General features: G+C 46.3%; 1 protein-coding gene across 1 annotated transcript, besides 4 other annotated features; it reads right to left on the bottom strand.

The window, feature by feature from the left end:
- Positions 298 to 407: an enhancer, noted in NCBI's record as "active region_17496". NCBI's record gives its function as "activates an Ori minimal core promoter by ATAC-STARR-seq in GM12878 lymphoblastoid cells {active_cell/tissue: GM12878}" and the evidence as "EXISTENCE:reporter gene assay evidence [ECO:0000049][PMID:35858748]".
- PRND (prion like protein doppel) lies at positions 1,454 to 8,005 on the bottom strand. The gene is made up of 2 exons (NM_012409.4): positions 7,945 to 8,005; positions 1,454 to 5,373 (listed from the first exon to the last, which is right to left on the bottom strand). The coding sequence occupies exon 2, from the start codon at positions 5,360 to 5,362 to the stop codon at positions 4,832 to 4,834; it is 531 nt and encodes a 176-aa protein (NP_036541.2). The 5' UTR covers positions 5,363 to 5,373; positions 7,945 to 8,005; the 3' UTR covers positions 1,454 to 4,831.
- Positions 2,772 to 2,861: an enhancer, noted in NCBI's record as "active region_17495". NCBI's record gives its function as "activates an Ori minimal core promoter by ATAC-STARR-seq in GM12878 lymphoblastoid cells {active_cell/tissue: GM12878}" and the evidence as "EXISTENCE:reporter gene assay evidence [ECO:0000049][PMID:35858748]".
- Positions 9,083 to 9,302: an enhancer, noted in NCBI's record as "active region_17494". NCBI's record gives its function as "activates an Ori minimal core promoter by ATAC-STARR-seq in GM12878 lymphoblastoid cells {active_cell/tissue: GM12878}" and the evidence as "EXISTENCE:reporter gene assay evidence [ECO:0000049][PMID:35858748]".
- Positions 15,792 to 16,991: an enhancer, noted in NCBI's record as "CDK7 strongly-dependent group 2 enhancer chr20:4693569-4694768 (GRCh37/hg19 assembly coordinates)". NCBI's record gives its function as "activates an origin of replication core promoter dependent on BRD2, BRD4, P300/CBP, MED14 and CDK7 cofactors, with strong dependence on CDK7, by STARR-seq in HCT116 cells {active_cell/tissue: HCT116}" and the evidence as "EXISTENCE:reporter gene assay evidence [ECO:0000049][PMID:35650434]".

The following is an 18,338-nucleotide window of genomic DNA, read 5'->3' as shown; positions in this document are numbered from 1 at the left end:
CAGGGGAAGGCTCCCATTTGCCAAAGCTGAGTCTGTTTTTCCGGGGCAGTCTTTGGATGATCTGGAATGTGCTTTGAGATTTCTCAAAGTCATAGTATTTTAGTCTCATTTTGCAGGGAATATCTGAGTTATTCCCATTTTGTAGGGATGCATTCCCAGAGGCATGAGGGTTGGGCTCCTTTTTCTTCCACTGGGGAAGCTGGGTGCCCACTGAAATGGGGTCTTCTGCCAGCACTGAGGATAAGGGAAGAGGAAGCCCTCGCTCTTCTCTGACTCGTGGCCTCTGGGGAGACAGCAAACTCTTAGCCTCTGGCCTGAGCCAGGCTCACCAAGAAGTCTGTTCCTCAACAGAGTGGTGTCTGAGCCAGAAAAACTGAAACTGGTCATGATGCCATGTCTGTGTAAGTCTTGATCACTCGCCTGGCAGGTGTGGTCTGTGACAGTGCTGGTTACATGAAGGCACATGGGCCCTGCTGTCACATTTCAGTAGAGACTCTGGTAGACTCAGGATGTGTCATGCAGCAACACAGAGACAGCTTAGGGTGCACGTGTCCATCCATCTACAGCCATGACAAAAAAGTCTTGGGTGCAGGAAAAAGATGTGACCACACCATAGGTACGATGTAGGGCCTGGGGTCCTTGACCCAATCAGCCACCACCCCAATCCAGTCACTTGTTGTCAGAAAACTTGAGGTAGAGCGTGTGGGCGGCTCAAGACAAACTTAAGGTCACTGCCTGGGACACCCTATTAGGACCAGAGGGTGAAGTTTCTAGACATTGTCAGGCATATCCTAAGCAAGGTAGGGTGTGAGGGGCACCAGGGAAATGCTGGTTGTCTGCCAGAGCCTGGAGGGGAGGAACAGCATGGGCTACTTTAATAGTGTTCTCAATTCTCTGCTCCTTTTGAGCTTTTGGATCTAGAGGGTATTCTGGCTGGAATGCAAATACTTGCATGTGTAATTTTAGTAAAAGTCAGTAAAAAGGCCAGGGCATAACCTCACCTCAAGCCTTCCCAGTTGCTGGGGTGTGTGGAGCTGTGCAGACACACCACCCTCTGAGTTGGAAGCCTACACACTCACTGCCTGTTTTCCAGGCTTCTCATGCAGATGTTTTGGGCCAAGGACCAGGTTTAGAATGAGAATTGCTAACAGTTTTAGGAGGATTTTCAAATGGTCCTCATGGCCGAAAGTTTTAGAGAGCTTTAGGTGTGCCGTTTGCAAAAGAGAGAAGATGTGTAGGCAACATTTGTAGAAAAGGTGGCTTCTCATAGTTAAATGACAGAAACTCTTCCAAATTAATGCCGTAAACAGCTGGTGGGAATAGGATTTGCTCCAGCTATGTGCGAGCATAGCCCGGTCATGGCTGGTAAAATTTAAATTACACACAGGCTTTGTTCCAGAAATTTTGCACGTGTGAATCTATTCCACAGAAACAGAAGTACCAGACTGCAATGTAGTATGTACAAGGATGTTTATTGTTTGCAGTGGCAAAAAACTGGAAATAATCTGAAGGCCCATCAACAAGGCAATGATTCAATCAATCATGATACATCTGTATTAAGTGAGATTACGTAGCAATCCAAAAGAATGAGTCAGCTATCTAGATAGCTGTTGTTCCAAAGAGTTTCATGATGCAATGTTAAGTTAGGGAAGCCAAATTGCAGATGAATAAATATTTTACATACATAGTATTTTTAAAAGGCATAATCAAGTTAAAAAGCCCTCACTTGTGTATCTGAGCACAGTTAAGGTGGAGCCTACATCTCAGGCTGGAAGGAGGGGACAGGACGGGGGAAAATGGGTGGGGAGGAAAGAAAACAAAGAGTAGGCAGGGCGTGGTGGCTCACACCTGTAATCCCAGCACTTTGGGAGGCCGAGGCAGGTGGATCACCTGATGTCAGGAGTTCGAGACCAGCCTGGCCAACATGGCAAAACACTGTCTCTACTAAAAATACAAAAAAATTTGCAGGGCTTGGTGGTGGGCACCTGTAATCCCACCTACTTGGGAGGATGAGGCATGAGAATCGCTTAAGCCTGGAAGGTGGAGGTTGTAGTGAGCCAAGATCACGCCACTGCACTCCAGCCTGGGCAACAGAATGAGACTCTGCCTCAAAAAAAAAAGTATAGAAAAATGAGTAGAAAGCATTGAATTAAGTTAAGTAAAAATTTAGAATATAAAAGCTCACTTTTTTATTGCAAATATGAATGTTTACATACGCAAATGCTTAAGAACTAGGAAAGTGCAGGGGAAACAGCAAACACTGACTCAATCAGATGCTGGGATTGTTGTATTATTTTGGTCTGGAATATCTGTTGTAATTTTCATGTCACTTTTACAATAAACTTATATTTTAAAAAGTCAACACTTAGCAGGGGCTACGAAAGCAACGGTTGGCAAAATTATGCACACTGCAAAATGACGATATCCAGAATAATTCAGAAGCCCCTCCCAATGTCTCGCACATAGTAGGCACCCCATTGCCCCTTTGCTAAAGTGAAAAACTAAACTCAGCCTTTATTCCACCCCATGATTCATCAACTTGAGCAAGAATGTTCAGGCACACACGCGTTCGATTAAAAGCCCCATAAACAAATTTTGCATTTGAATCACCATATACACATTCACGTCATGCCCCACTGAAATCTGGTTGCCGGGACTATTAACAGAATGAGAAAAGGCAGCAATTACAGAAAATGAACGACATCATGGCCTAAGCGTTTTCACATCAGAAATGAAGTCATTTGGCTGACGTGGCTGCACGTGCTGTTGTAATTAAACTTAGGAGAGCGAGGAAGTGAAATGTCAGTGTCAGCCTCTGAGTACTTTCTCTTTCTTTCTCTCTTGCCATGGTTATTATTTTTTTAATTAGAAAGCAGGAAATAACCGTAGAGGATATGTTCTGTACTTTTTTCTTGCTCTCTGATCTAGAATTAACAGGACCGTGGAAGCAGAAGGCGAGTGTAGCTCTGGCAGTGACGTGAACCCCAGTCCTGGCTGCAGGGTGGACGTCTCCTCCATGTGCCCAGTGTAAGGCTGTTTCTTTGTGCTGCTCTGCCCCCAAGTCCTCCGCTCACTTTCAATGTTAAAACCTTCCAAATGTGTCCTTGAGAAGAACACTGATAGCTGAGGGGACTCAGCACAAGAGGTGCCCTCATCAGCACTCATGTTCTGCAATGCTTTGGATAAATTGTCTGATAAAATGCATGTTCCCCCCTTACAAACTCTCTTTAAAGGAGAAATGATAATATTCAGTGGCTGTTTTCTCCAAATATAGTTCAACAACTCCTGGGAGTCTCTGAGAGTGGCCTGGAGCGCCTGTAGGAGCCTCTTAGAGCATTCAATTCATTGTTTTAAATTTAAAACAGATCTTAAACATTACTCATATTGTGTTATATATATTTTTAGCTAATAAGGTGGTGTATCAACTCCTGCTTATGGCATGGATTGCATTCTTTATTGGGTCTCCCTAAAGACACAGCTTTATTTTTTAAAGCTTTTTGGTGAGTAATTGTATTTTTGTAGTGACAAGTGGTTTACAGAGATGATGGCCTTCATTAGGCTGTCTTGAAAGAAATGAGAGACTTTGCATAGAACACAGATGTAAAGGGATTATATTTAAAGATACTCATATGAGTGCACATAAAACATGCATGTAGGGTTAGGGGAACATTAGAAGCAAATATGCCACTAACATTTTGTTTTTCTTAAATACATGCAATGTTTCAGGGATGGGAACAGCAAGCACTTACCCTTCTTTTGAAAAAAAAAAAAAAAAAATTGAATCCCAGCACTATGGGAGGCCCAGGTGGGTGGATCACCTGAGGTCAGGAGTTCAAGACCAGCCTGGCCAACATGGTGAAACCCTGTCTCTACTAAAAATACAAAATTAGTCAGGCATGATGGCACACACCTGTAATCCCAGCTACTCGGAAGGCTGAGACAGGAAAAGTGCTTGAGCCTGGGAGGCAGAGGCTGCAGTGAGCCAAAATCATGCCGTTGCACTCCAGCCTGGGCAACAAGAGTAAAACTCCATCTAAAAAAAAAAAAAAAAGAGAAAGAAAATCTTCATGCCACAGGCACATCCTGCTGTATATGTGGTCTGCTCTGGGAATCAGCTTCCAATAACATTTCCTTACAGTATGATTTCTGGGCCTTTGTCTAGCTTTACTTGTATTTTAGTTTAATTCCTTTAATCTATTTTAGTTTAGTTAGAAGGATTAAAATAGCCTCCATGTACCAGTCAAAGTACACAGCCACCAGCTCAGGTGTTTTCATTTATTTCTAAACATGGAGCTTTCACAATTTCATTAGAGATACATGTTTGGATGTGGGTCCCTGTGAGACATAAAGTGATCACCAGACAGCTCTGGAATTGGACAGAGCAGAAAACCTGGGGTTAGACAAGCCAGGGTTGAATCCTGGCTCTGCCACTTTCTAGCTGGTGATGCTGGGTGCAGTACTTCAGCTCTCTGGGCCTCAGTTTCCTTATCTGTAAAACGGGAATACACCTACCTCTAAGAGTTGTTGGGAAGTACTGTGAAGCAGGTGGCGCAGTGCCTGATGTGTTCTTCTCATCAAGCATTTACTACTAATCTAGTGTGCCAGACGCTCTGCTAGGGGCTGAGAATGGAGTGACGGAGAAGCCACAGTCCCCCATCTATCAGAACGCAGGCACATACCAGGGCGCATACGTGAGAGCGGCATTTGCAGTGCGAGTGCATCGCCGCTCCTGGGCACCTTCAGAACACGCGTGGGTTTGGGGGAGAAGAGCTGGGTCACTTGCCAGGATTTGCTCGCTGCTGCACTCTGTACTGCCAGCCTCCTGGCAAGCTTATTTCACCGTGAGCCAGATCAAAGCCAGAAGGCAGAGGAGCACTGGCTGGTGCATGGTGACCCGAAGTCCTGCGCCCCTCTCCAACCAAAACTCGCAATGCTTGAGGGAGCAGAGCTCCTGGACCAGCCGCCAGAGCACCTGCTGGTGGAGCTTGTTGTCTGGCTTCTGGAACTCCCCCTGGTTCGCCGCCTGGGTGGCATTGATGCAGCCGGTGACAAATGCCTCCTTGGTCACATTAGCCTCAGAGCAGCCGTTGTAGTGGATGCCATCGGGGAACTGCCAGTAGTTGGCCTCGTAGTACCTGTTGCCCTCGGCTCCGAAGTCAATGTCGAGCTTGCGGCCTTGCTTGATGAAGGCTCCCGGGCGGTTCTCAGCCACCTGGGCCTCAGTGATCTGGGCAGTGCTGGGCAGGGCCTTCCGGTTCCACTTGATTCTGTGCTTGATGCCCCTCGTCTGGACCGCAGAGAGGTGGCTGAAGAGCAGCATGCAGACAGTGGCCAGCCACCACCAGCTCAGGTGCTTCCTCATCGCGTCAGAACCTGCCAGAGAAACGGCGGTGGGTCAGCTCCCCACCAGGCCTGCCTGGGCTCCCCTGCCCCCTCCCAAGTGCAGGAGATTTTAAGGAAGGAATCGCATCCTTGTGCTATTTATGTGGTCTCAAAAGCATAATTGTTTCCCCATGTTTGGGTTGTGCAGGGTTAACTCAAACACCGAGCTCCTTTGCTATTGCTAGGATTACATTCACTCAGGGCTCTGGTCCCGGTTTCCGAGACAGGTAAGAATGGCAAAGGGCAATTATAGTGGCTTTGAATACGCATGGGAAAATAAAGGAGTGGTGACTTAATACATGTAGGTTTTCTTTGATACTCCCAAGTCTTTCAAATCAAGAAATCCCTGGGAGGAAAATACAATAGAAGAGTTGGAATCAAATGCTGGTGGGCATGGACTATATGTGTGTGTGTGTGTGTGTGTGTATACACGTATATATATACACATATATATGTATATATACACGTATATACACACACATATATACATATATACACACATATATGTATATATACACACATATATATATACGTATATGTACAGACACACACACATACACACACACACACACACACACACACACACACACACATATTTTAGAGACAGGATCTCACTCTGTTGCCCAGGCTGGAGTGCAGTGGCATGATCATAGCTCATTGCAGCCCTGAACTCCTGGGCTCAAGCAATCCTCTTGCCTCAGCCTCCGGAGTAGCTGGGACTACAGGCACACACTACCACACCCAGCTAATTTTTAAATACATGTTGTAGAAACGGGGTCTCACTATGTTGCCCAGGCTCAAGTGATCCTCCCACCTCAGCCTCCCAAAGTGCTGAGATTACAGGCACGAGCCACTGTGCCGACTTTAGATTGTACTTTCAATCTCCCCTCTTTGTTCTTTATTGCTCTGAGCTGGCACTGTCTTGGGGGCATTCTGCCATCCATTCTGAGGAATTCACTGGCTGCTGATCCTAAAGGGCTTTGCAGTAATGAGAGAGAGAGGAGGAGGAAGGAAGGGAAAGATGGAAACGTAGCAAAGGGACCCCTGCCTCCCCTATGTCCAGGGGTCAAGTGTGCTCCAGGCATCCTTTCCAATCTCACCCCTGGGGGACAGTGTGACCATCTGCTTATCCTACTGGCTTTTTATTGCATACTTTCTTCATGCCTGCCACCGTGTTAAGCTCTTCTCTGACATTGCCTAACTTAATTCTCACATAGAGTAGGTACATTATTATCCCCATGTTATAAATGTTGTCCTGGGATTCAGAGAAGTTAAGTAATTTGCCCAAGGCTGCACAGCGGGGAGGTGGCAGACCTGCACTGGGCTCTGTCTAATGCTGCACTGCATGTGTCCACTAGCCATGCCCCACTGCCCATCTGGGTTTCAGGAGAAGACAGTGCTCACACACTGTGCTTTTCACTCACTGGGTATGATGCCCCCTGAGCTGGGCAAAGGGCAAAGGGCAGGGCCCTTGAGGAATTTCGGAGAAAACGAGATGAAAGGGAAGACAGGAGGGCCTGGGGGAACACCAGGAGGGTCCCGGGTCAAGGTGGCCCTGGGACATCCGAAGGGCTGCCACTGATGTCATGGAAAAGCCCCTCACCCCACACCTTAAGGTTGCCTGTCACATTCGGCTCCTGAATCTACAATAGCCATCAAGGAAATCCACTTCCCAAGGCCGACTGTCAGGGCATTCTAGCACCTGGGTCTTTGCCTGTGTGGATTAGGGAAATGGAAGGAGTTCCCATACCGGAGCTTGCCTAAGCTGTCTCCTAGGCAAAGACTTACTGTGAGGCCATGGGGCCCCAGAGCTGGAGGAGGCTGACAGGGAGCTTGTTTCGCCCCTCACACACCCTCCACCACCCTGCTGCAGCTTCCCTAAAAGTGGCTAATGTTCCTCTGATAAAATGTTCAACTCTGATGCCACATTGCTCCTTATATTAAAAAAAAAAGGCAAAACACAGCTGAAGTGATCTCTAGAAGCACATCCAGTCATCTCTAGAAGCCTGCAAAGAGGCCTCACTGACCTTTCCTTGCTTGTAGACATCGCCTCGTCTTTGTCCCAGGGTGGCTATGAGCATCTGGACCCCCTCACCCCACTCTCTCTGCCTCCTGAGCACAGTGAACTCAGACTGACTTTCTCCAAAGAGATCCAAGCATGAAGCAAATATTCATTAGTCTCCTAAATAGGGCCATACTCCACATCATTCCTTTTTTAAGGAGAAATCTTAAATAAGATTAATGGCATAATAGATCATTTCAGGTGAGTCAAATAAAAAAAATAAAAGCACAGCATTCTTGAGAAAGAGATTAGTTTTCATAGGCAGAAGCTTAAAGGCAAAACAAAATCCCAACCCACAAACCCTAAAGTAGCATTTTATTATAGCACCAACTTAGAGAAAGGCAAGCCCAGTGATGACTGGGTATCCTCGCAAGTCTACCCTGAACTTGGGACCCATCCCCAGGTGTGGGAGTAAAGAAATCATTGCATGATTTTCAATCTGGGATCGAGCCTTGATAAGAAACCAGCAGTCCTGACCACAGAAGTGGCCCCCCACGTACCTTGGCTCTCTCTGGAGTGTGCCTCTGGAGCCTCGAGCTGCACAGTCCCCCAGCACACCCTCTTGGCAGCCAGGTCCGCCCAGCTATATAGGAGCTGCCGGGGGAGGTGGCATTCCTGCAGGTCTCCAAATAAGGCAGCCCTTCCCTCCCCGGCAGACCAATCAGGGCTTCCTGGACCACTCCTTCATCCTGAGAAGGATGGACCTTCTCATCACACTTTACTAAGGAAACCACGTGAAAATCTTGATGAAGTTCAGCAAGGCTTCAGAGGTGCCTTTTAGAATTGGAATGAGATGTGTTAGAAGGAAAATGCTTTTCCCATCAATATCTATGACAGATGTGGCTTCAACAAGCCTCGCTGGACATGCATAGTGTCCTGTACCTAAAGGCCGGCCTTGGACAGCAAAGCAGTCTTTGCTGACAGCCTCTGTGGGGAGGTTCAGCTCAAAAAGAGGGCAAGCGTTCACCTGGACCACCACGCCCTGAGGATGGGACCAACAGGGTGTGTGTGTGGTGGTGGGGGGGGGGGGCGCCGGGGGGCGGTTACACTTTCATCGGGTAGTGGGAAAACAGAACTGGTAGGTATGGGGTGGAAGACACGTGAGAAGACTTCCTGGCATGTTGGGCGAGGAATGCTTGAAGGACTGAATTAGCCCAAAGGCCAATAAGTTAAAGATCTGCGGGAACCCCGGGAGCAGAGACACATTGACACGCAGCCAGTCCCCTGGACAGGTGGTGCGGGCTGAGGGCGAGTTCTGCAGAGTGCCTTCTCCTCTACATGGTGTCCGAGCGCTGCGCAGAAGGGGCTGGAGGTGCATTCCTGGGCTTTCCAAAGCAAGAGACTCATTGGTATTGGGTGACCATTTTGGGCCTTATACAGAAGGGACTTGCTCAGGTGTCCCTGTTACAGTTAGTACTGCAAGGCAAAGTCAAAAGTGAATATGGGAGCAAGTATGGGGCCAGATTTTCCTGTAAACAGAATGCGATTTTTATGCTGAATGTGACCCCGTCAGTGTTCACGGTGGATTTGCGTCAGAGCAATTTTGCAAACCAAATTAAACGGTTGTTATCGAGAAGGACAGCAGATAGCGCCAGAGAGCTGACAAAGACCGCAGCCGGTCGGTGGGAAACCCGGGCTTCTGGGCTCTGGGTGGATTTGGGGCCTCCGGTTGGGCCTTTCTTTCTCCTCTGACTTTAACATTTGTTTCACTTCCCCACTTTTTTTTTTTTAAGAACTTTTCTATTTCCTTTCTAGAACCACAGACTTTTTGTGCTTCTGAATACACACAAAACAGAAACACAGTAGTGTAATCTTAGTACAGACTGTTTGCAAAATGGAGATGAAAAAATCAAAATCTCCTAATAGTTCAGTACCCAGAGACAAATGTCAGGACAATTTTGTTTCACATATAGATACTTAGGGCCACAGTGTTTAGAGCTAGAAAGGACTCAGAATTCTGTGGTCCAGCTCCTTTGCATGGTGAGCTCACAGGCCCAGATAGGCTCAAGGTCACCCAGCCAGGCCGGCAGTGCAGCCTCGGCAGGCTCGTTGTCCCATTGTGAACTCTGTGCACTATCCCCCTGCCTGTTCCCACTAGACACAATCATCTCCAACCCCCTCCACCCCTCTTCTTCCTATTCCCTTTCTAAGCAGGACTTTACCCAGAGAATGGTGGGAGGTTGGTTTAGAGCTGACGTGGCAGCAGATTCCTCTTGTTAGTGAACAAAAGGCTGTTTACAAAGGCACAGAGGAATGGGGAAGACTGAAATTGCTACAGAAGCAGGGAGGAGCTCTGGAAGCTGCAAACAAGGCAAGAAAACAATAAGCAGATGTGGAGAATGTGGAGCCGACCCAATGCTGCCTCGCATCCTCCCTCCCTGCCTGTAAAGATCGACAAACAGACCAAGGAATTAGTGTGAGAACATTCATTTCTTCAAAAGAACTGAGAGACCAGGGCCAAGTGAATTACACTATGTTACATAAAGTGGATTATATTATATAGTCTGGGAAATAGAACTGTGTGTAGATCATCTTTGAGAAAGCAGGAAGAATGAGATGGAGACCACAGATCTGGGTGTTCTATGATGCAGGGGTCTATGACATAGTTCTCTAGATCGCGTAAATAATAGAAAATTATGCCAGTTTCTAAAAACGCAACAGGGAATGGCTGAATTCTAGAATGCATGAATGGGTCATTATTTGATCAATTTCCAGCTTTGATTAGACCTTGGACCAGTTTGAGAGCATTTATAGGTGAATACAGTGATCGTTTGGATATAACCTAGCAGGCCAAATTAACTATACCAGGGAGATTACTGTTTGGCAAGATTACCAACCATATTTGTGCCAGGAAAAGAAGAACACAAGAAGGATAAGCCAGGTTCCATTGCTGGCCCATGGCCTAATGGTAGAGAAATCGCTGAAATGTGATTTGGAAAATAATACTTATTTAGCTGTGTAGCTACCTAAACAGCTGTTACAGTCTGAATGCTTGTGTCCCTCAACAACTCATATGTTGAAATTCTCACCCCCGAGGTAATGGTAATGGAGGTGGATCTTTGGGAGGTGATTAGGTCATATGGGTGAAGCCCTTATGATTGGGATTAGTGCCCTTATAATAGAGGCCTGAGAGTACTCCCTTGTCCCTTCTGCCATGTGGGCACACAGTGAAAGATGGCCATCTATGAACCACAAAGTGGGTTCTCACCAGACACCCAATCTGCTGGCACCTTGATCTTGGACTTGCCAGCCTCCAGAACAGTGAGAAATAAATGTGTGGTGTTTATAAGCCACCCAGTTTATGATATTTTATTATAGCAACCTGAATGGACTAAGACAATAGACATACTTAATTTTTTCTTTTTATTCAAGTCTGAGATCCACACAAAGGTGCACATATTTGCAATGTCCAGCATTATGGTTTTTTTTTTTTTTTAGATGGAGTCTCACTCTGTCACCCAGGCTGGAGTGCGGTGGCGCCATCTCGGCTCACTGCAACCCCCGGCTTCCAGGTTCAAGCGATTCTCCTGCCTCAGCCTCCCGAGTAGCTGAGACCACAGGCATGGGCTACCACACTCGGCCAATTTTTTGTATTTTTAGTAGAGATGGGGTTTCACCGTGTTAGCCAGGATGGTCTGGATCTCCTGATCTCGTGATCCACCCGCCTCGGCCTCCCAAAGTGCTGGGATTACAGGCATGAGCCACCACACCCGGCCCAGCATTATGTATTTTTACAAACCAAATACACCATTGTAACCTGCACCTAGATTAGGAAACTGAGCATGACAGCACACTCCAAGCTCCTCATGGCCTCTTCACGCCACAATTCCCTCCCCTATGCTGACCACTTTTCTGAGTCCCATGCCATAGATTAGTTTTGCCTGGTTTTGTATTTCATATACATAGAATTATATAGAATATAATCTTCTGTGTCTGTGTTTTGCTCGAATTACGTATTTGAGGTTCACCCACATTGTGTGTAGTTATAGATCATTCATTCCATTGTAAGAATATTCCACAACCTACTTATCCATTTCCCTGTTGATGGACATTTGGGCGGTTTCTCATTTGGGATCTTATGAATAGTGTTGTCATGAATATTCCTGCATGTTCTTCTTGGTGCCCATATTTCTGTTGAATATATACTCAGGAGTAGATTTGCTGGGTCATAGAATATGCCTATTTTTCAGCTTTTACTATTTTAGAATTTGGACTATGGCTTTTTTAAAATCTTAAATTCACCCTCCTTTACGGTTTGCCCACTCTTCTGCTCCCAAACCCAGCCGCGAGTCTCCATGTGGTTCCTTTGCCACTTGGCACAGAGCCTATTACTGTAGTCACCGGAGCCTCCCATTCACACATTCTGCTGAGCTCATAGAAGTTGAAGGACTGTGTTTCATTCACATGTGTTTGCCTGGCACCTAGCACAGTGCCTGGAATCTAGATGCATCTAGATTCCCTTTATCCCTTGTTGATCGGTGACGGTCCACATCGCAGTTGGTTGGAATACACAAAAGCAGCAAGAGCAAATTTTACAGGGATAAGGGAGACAGTTTTACAGTTGTTGCGGTTGTCTTTTAAATCAAGGGCAGCATGTTGAAGACCCGTCATGGTGGTAGTTGAGATTCTGTGGTATAGAGTTGTTTAGAAGCAGAAAATGAGCCCAGAGGGTGGCCACAGCTTGGAGAAGCAAATGCTGTGCTAATCCATGGATCATTTCCCCTGCAGTTCTCTGCCCTTCCCGGTCAGAGTGCAGTTAGTGTTTGGAACTTGGCTGTGAGCAATTGACTCAGGGCAGGGATTGGGGTGGAGTATGGGGAGGATGGGAGGGAGGTGAGGAAGGGTGGGAGATGAGGAAGAGCAGTGGTCCTTCTGGCTCAGCCGGGACCACTGAAGCAGTTCTTCCTCTCGTGCGGGAATCACCCAGTGTATGTGGGACAGGATGTTTGTAGGTGAGAAGGTAGAAGATGGGGAGCCACTGAAGGCTTAGGGCAGGTACAGGATGAAGGCTGTGTTTTAAGGTGATCTGTCTCTCGGGTTGTCCAGAAAGGAGAGGCCCAGGAAAGGGCAGAAACTCCCACCTGCAGACCCAAAGAAGGGCAAAGAATGCCAGACTCAGCCACCACCGAGTTCCTCATTTAGCCTCCCCATCACTTTGCTCCTCGTCTGCGATGTTTTTAAAAGCATAATTAACCTGATAAGTTGGTCTGCAGTTTGTCACTCTCCCTAAATACACAGGAAAATGTCCAAATGGAGAAAGGCCTCCCCCAGGACGAGGCTACCTGGACCAGATGACGGTCCAGCTTTTACTGTGTCAGAGTGGGGACACCTGGGTTGCCCAGGGGTGGTGTTCGTTCTCGGGGGAGGGGGGTGAGGGCAGGGCGCTGCACAGAGAGTGGACATGAGCCAAAGACATGAGTTCTAATCCCCAGCCTGCCATTCTCGGCTTTGCAGGGCTTAGTCATCATCGATTACAGGGGAGCTTTGGCCTTCTCTCTCATGGAGGGTGATTTCCACCTCAGACAATAAATGGTATATTTGCTGGGCATCTTTGGGGTGACATAAGTTCACACTGAGGATGAGTTTTCTCATCTGTGCAGGGGTATCATGCCTGCTGCTCCCATCATTGTTACAGCTGCTGCGGATGAAAGATTATCAATTGCTGCTTGGCACAGTTGAAACCACAGAATTCAATACAAATCCTTCCCTGAAATAGTGTAAAGGATAGTAAGCTCGGGCCCAAAAGCTGCTTTGAATACACAGGTATGTGCTAACATGTTAATTACCAGCCTGCCAGAAATACTAATGAAGCATTGATGGTTGTGAAGGCAACTTAAGAGGTTAGTGCCAGAGGCTGTGGTTGCCCTTGTCCAGGAGGAAGTTCAAAGCACTGTGGAGAGAGGGATGGATTCAGCAGGGAAAAGTCTTTGCCAAGTCGCAGAGCCAACCCAAGTGGAAAATGCAGGGAGAGGTCACTTCTTGGTGGTGGTGGCTGCAGGTGGGATCTGGCAAGAGGTGGGAATGAGGACCCAACATATTGAATGCTTTTGTTGAAGTATAACATAATATAGAAAAATGCACGTGCCATAAGTACACCATTCAGTAGATTTCACGAACTCAATACCCTTAGGTAACCAGCAGAATATTCCCACCCCCTTCAGCAGTAACCACTACCTTGACTTCTAGCTTCCAGGCTGGTGTTTCACCCTTCTTTTATACAAATGGAATCATGCAATATGCATTGTTTTGTAACTGTAATTTTGTTCAAAATTATGCTTGTGAGATTTATTAATATTGTTCCCTAGATATGTTATTATTGTTTTTTAAATTGCTTTTTAATTTTTAGAGACAGGGTCTCGTTCTCTTACCCAGACTGGAGTGCAGTGGTGCCATCATGGCTCACTGCAGCCTCAAATTCCTGGGCTCAAGTGATCCTCCTGCCTCGGCCTCCCAAATAGCTATGACTACAGGCACACACCACCATGGTGGCTAATTTTTTTTTCATTTGGTAGAAGCGAGATCTTGTCATGCTGCCTAGGCTAGTCTTGAACTTCTAGCCTCAAGGGATCCTCCAGCCTCAGCCTCCCAAAGTGCTAGATTACAAGTGTGTGCCACCAAACCTGGCTGAGATATTATTTGTGAATTCTCATTCCTGTATGGTATATGGTTGTTTAAATAGATCACAACTTCTTGATCTGTTCTTCTCTCATGGACACTGGGGTTATCCTTTGTTTGGGGCTATTGGAATACAGTTGCTAGGAAAATTCTTAGGCATGTCTCTTGATGACTATAAGCTCTCATTTTTGTTGGGGAAATACTCAGTAGTCAAAATGCTGGGTGATAGGATAGGGGCATGTTCAGCTTTAGTAGAACCTGCCAGTTTTCCAAAATTTTTCAACCAATTTAGATTCAACCATGCAAGAGGGCTCTGGTTGTATCACAATGACCTGCTTCATGCCAGCTCTCCTGTATACATTTCTTTTAATTCTCCCACAACCCTGTAAGAAAGGTGCTTAATGGAGAATTTTTGTTGTGTTGTTTAAACAAACAATTACAGCGTTTGGTAAATTATTGTAGAGCTAAGAACAAAGTATGAATATTAGGGGAGAGTAGACCTAACTCTGTCCTACCAATTGCAGGGGTTCTTAACTGGAAGGGGGCTGTCCACGGAGAGAAATTGGAAAATACATGAACTTGGATGGGAAAAACCAACACATCTTTATTTTCACTCACCTCTACCTGAAATAGAGCTTTTCCTCCATGAAGAATGCAGGTAGCAACTCACAGTAGCATTAGCTGTACCTGTGATTATAACACCACTAACAATCACAGATGCTTTCATGCCACATTACAGGTAGGGTGACCAACTGCCCCAGTTCGCCAGGGACTGAGGGGTTCTCCAGGACACAGGGTTCTCAAGTGCCAGTTTGCCAGGGACAGAGGGAATTTCCAGGACACAGGATTTTCAGTGCTAAACTGGGAAAGTATGGTACAAGCCAGGACAAGTTGGTCAACCTAATTCCAGGTGTAACAAATCTCAAAATGTCCTTTACACATATCACTGTTAAATTATGTTTGTTATTAGGCTCACCACTAGATCTTATTCAGTGAGTTTTTAGATATTTAAGTTTAATGAGTATTAACATATTTTGATAACTATATTTTAGTTTAATCAGTTTATTTTATAACCCATGTATCTTATTTTATGCATTTAAAACATTATACTGAGCAGGATTCATAGGCTTCATCAGACTGACATTTCAGATTTCAGTTGGGTCTTTTTTTCTTTTTTTTTTGAGATGGAATCTCTCTCTGTCGCCTAGGCTGGAGTGCAGTGGCACGATCTTGGCTCACTGCTACCTCCGTCTCCCTGGTTCCAGCCATTCTCCTGTCTCAACCTCCCAAGTAGCTGGGATTACAGGCATGTGCCACCACACCTGGCTAATTTTTCTATTTTTAGTAGAGACAGGGTTTCACCATGTTGGCCAGGCTGGTCTCGAACTCCTGACCTCAGGTGATCCACCAGCCTCGGCCTCCCAAAGTGCTGGGATTACAGACATGAGCCACCATGCCTGGCCCCTGCTGGGTCTTGATGTATACATTAAGAGTTTGCCACTTGGAGATAGGGAGCAGGAAAGATGTTCTAGGTGGAGGGAACAACATAAACAGAGGATTGTTAAGCACCCTAGAGGTGGCTCAAGAGGCTCTAAGGTATGGATTCATGATGAGTCCGAATGATGAGGCTAGTTCTTGGAGAGAAGTGAGGCCGTGCAGCAGGGAGTAACTCATTACAGGTGCCCCAGTGGAGGACTGGCTTGCCAAAGAGAGTGGGGTGGGGAGGAAGGAACAGAATGGGAACAGCTGACATCTAGGGTGTCCCCATGGATGTCTTTTACAACTGTTTCTGCCCTGCAAGCTTTTCTATCCAGCTTAGCTTTGTGGTCCAGGAAAAGGAGGAAAAGAGCTAACATTTCCTCAACCACACGTTCTCCTTTCCATCCCTGGATAATGGTAATTACTGCGGGGCAGGAGGGGAGTGATCCCTTCAGCACAGGGGCATGCTTCTTTGTAGACCACACCCACCTCCACCATGGAGGTCCTTGATTTGAAGGGTTGACTGAGTGTTCTCTCCCCTCCACTTCAGCTGCCACATGGAAACATTACTGATTTTCCAACTGGACATGAACCAATGCCTCTCTTCCATCTTCTCTGCTCTCCCGACTCCAACTGCAAGTGCTACGCAGGTGTGTGATGACACACAGGGAAGGAGGATTGGGTGTAAATGCAGGCCGGGGAAGACAAGGCCAAATGCCACACGATGACTCAGAAGGGACATCTGGGTCTTAAAGGATCAAGCAAGACCTCTGAACAGAGCCAACAGGTCAAGTGAGTAAGACAGAGACGCAATGTGGGCAGTGAAGAAGCTGAGGCTCCAGCAAGGTCCCCCGCCCCGTCACAAGGCCTGATATTCACACCACCTAGTCTTGCCAAAACAGCTCAGTGTGTGAGAAGGGTGTGTCCTTACTCATCAGCATAACTTTCCTGTGAGGTAGAGAAGGAGCAACTGGGCAGATTGAGATGTCAGGAGAAATGCCAACTTCAGGAAAAAGGATAGAGTTTCCACCAGGTGAATGAAAGGCGTAGAAATAGTCTGTATGAGAAGTAGACTGGACAAAGAAAATGTGGCACATATACACCATGGAATACTATGCAGCCATGAAGAATGAGATCATGTCCTTTGCAGGGACACGAATGAAGCTGGAAGGCATCATCCTCACCAAACTAACACGGGAACAGAAAACCAAACACCGCATGTTCTCACTCACAAGTGGGAGTTGAACAATGAGAACCCACGGACACAGGGAGGGGAACATCACACACAGGGGCCTGTTTGGGGGTGGGAGGCAAGGGGAGGGAGAGCATTAGGACAAATACATAAGGTATGTGGGGCTTAAGACCTAGATGACGGGTTGATGGGTGCGGCAAACCACCATGGGGCATGTATACCTATGTAACAAACCTGCACATTCTGCACATGTATCCCAGAACTTAAAGTAAAATAACAAAAAATAAAAAAAAGAAATAGTCTATATGAGAAGTAATTTATAACCTAGTAGAAAAGGCAGTCACTAAACTTGTCACAAAAACGGGTGCATGAAGCCACTTCCCAGACCCTGAGCATTTATTAGTTCACCAAAGGTCCAGAGGTTTTTCTTGAGGAAACTTTAGTACTTTAGGTAGAATAAAGGGGACCACATTTCTGCCGCGTATGGGCAAAGGGCCTATTCGCCTGGTAACAATCCCATCAGCTCTTGATACCAGCAGGCCTTGTAAATTACATATCACAGCAGGGGCAAGCAGGTTTTAAACTCAGCTGCTCCATAATTAAACATTACTGTGTTCCTTTTCACTTTTCTTACCTTCTTAAAGGTCGAGAATGTTGTATTTCATTTTTCAGCTTTCATTGATTTAGCCTTTGATTTTGTAACCAGAAAAGGCTTAGGACCAAGTGTCTAGAAATGTGCTAGACCTAAAGCTATTAGTGCTTCTCTATAGACTGTTTTCTGGAACACTCGTGAGAAAAACAAGTGGGCAGAAATGTTCTTACAACAGATTAAACCTTAATCAACTACCTAAACCTCCCCCTACCCTCTCATCACCTCTGTGCTTAGGTAGGCAATTCTGTGCTTTAAAAAAAAAAAAGAGCATCATCGGCCAGGTGCAGAGGCTCACACCTGTAATCCCAACACTTTGGGAGGCCGAGGCGGGTGGACCACCAGAGATCAGGAGTTTGAGACCAGCCTGGCCAACATGGTGAAACCCTGTCTCTACTAAAATACAAAAATTAGCTGGGCGTAGTGGCACAAGCCTGTACTCCCAACTACTCAGGAGGCTTAGACAGGAGAATCGCTTGAACCCGGGAGGCAGAGGTTGCAGTGAGCCGAGATCGTGCCACGGCACTCCAGCCTGGGCAACAGAGTGAAACTCTGTCTCAAAATAAATAAATAAACAAATAGAAACAAAAATAAAACTGAAAAAAATAGCACCATTGGGGTAATTCCCGTAACATGAGATTCGCCATTTCAAGGTGTACACTCAGGGATATTTGGAATAGTCAGAAAGTTATTCATTGATTTGCTACCATTTAATTCCAGCACATTTTATCACACCAGACAGAAACCCTGTACCCACTAGTAGGCAGTTCCCATCCTCCACCTCCCTCCAACCCCCGGCAACCACTAATCCACAGTTTGCTTCTACAGATTTGCCCTTTCTGGACATTTTACATAAATGAAACCACATCCTATGTGGTCTTTTGTGACTGGTTTCTTTCACTCAGCATAATGTTTTCAGGGTTCATCCATGTTGTAGCATGTAACGGTCCTTTATACCT

The sequence above is a fragment of the Homo sapiens genome, chromosome 20, assembly GCF_000001405.40.
Source record: "Homo sapiens chromosome 20, GRCh38.p14 Primary Assembly".
Lineage (NCBI taxonomy): Eukaryota > Metazoa > Chordata > Mammalia > Primates > Hominidae > Homo > Homo sapiens.
The sequence above is the reverse complement of the archived record's forward strand: the minus strand, read 5'-3'. Positions and strand labels throughout refer to the sequence as shown.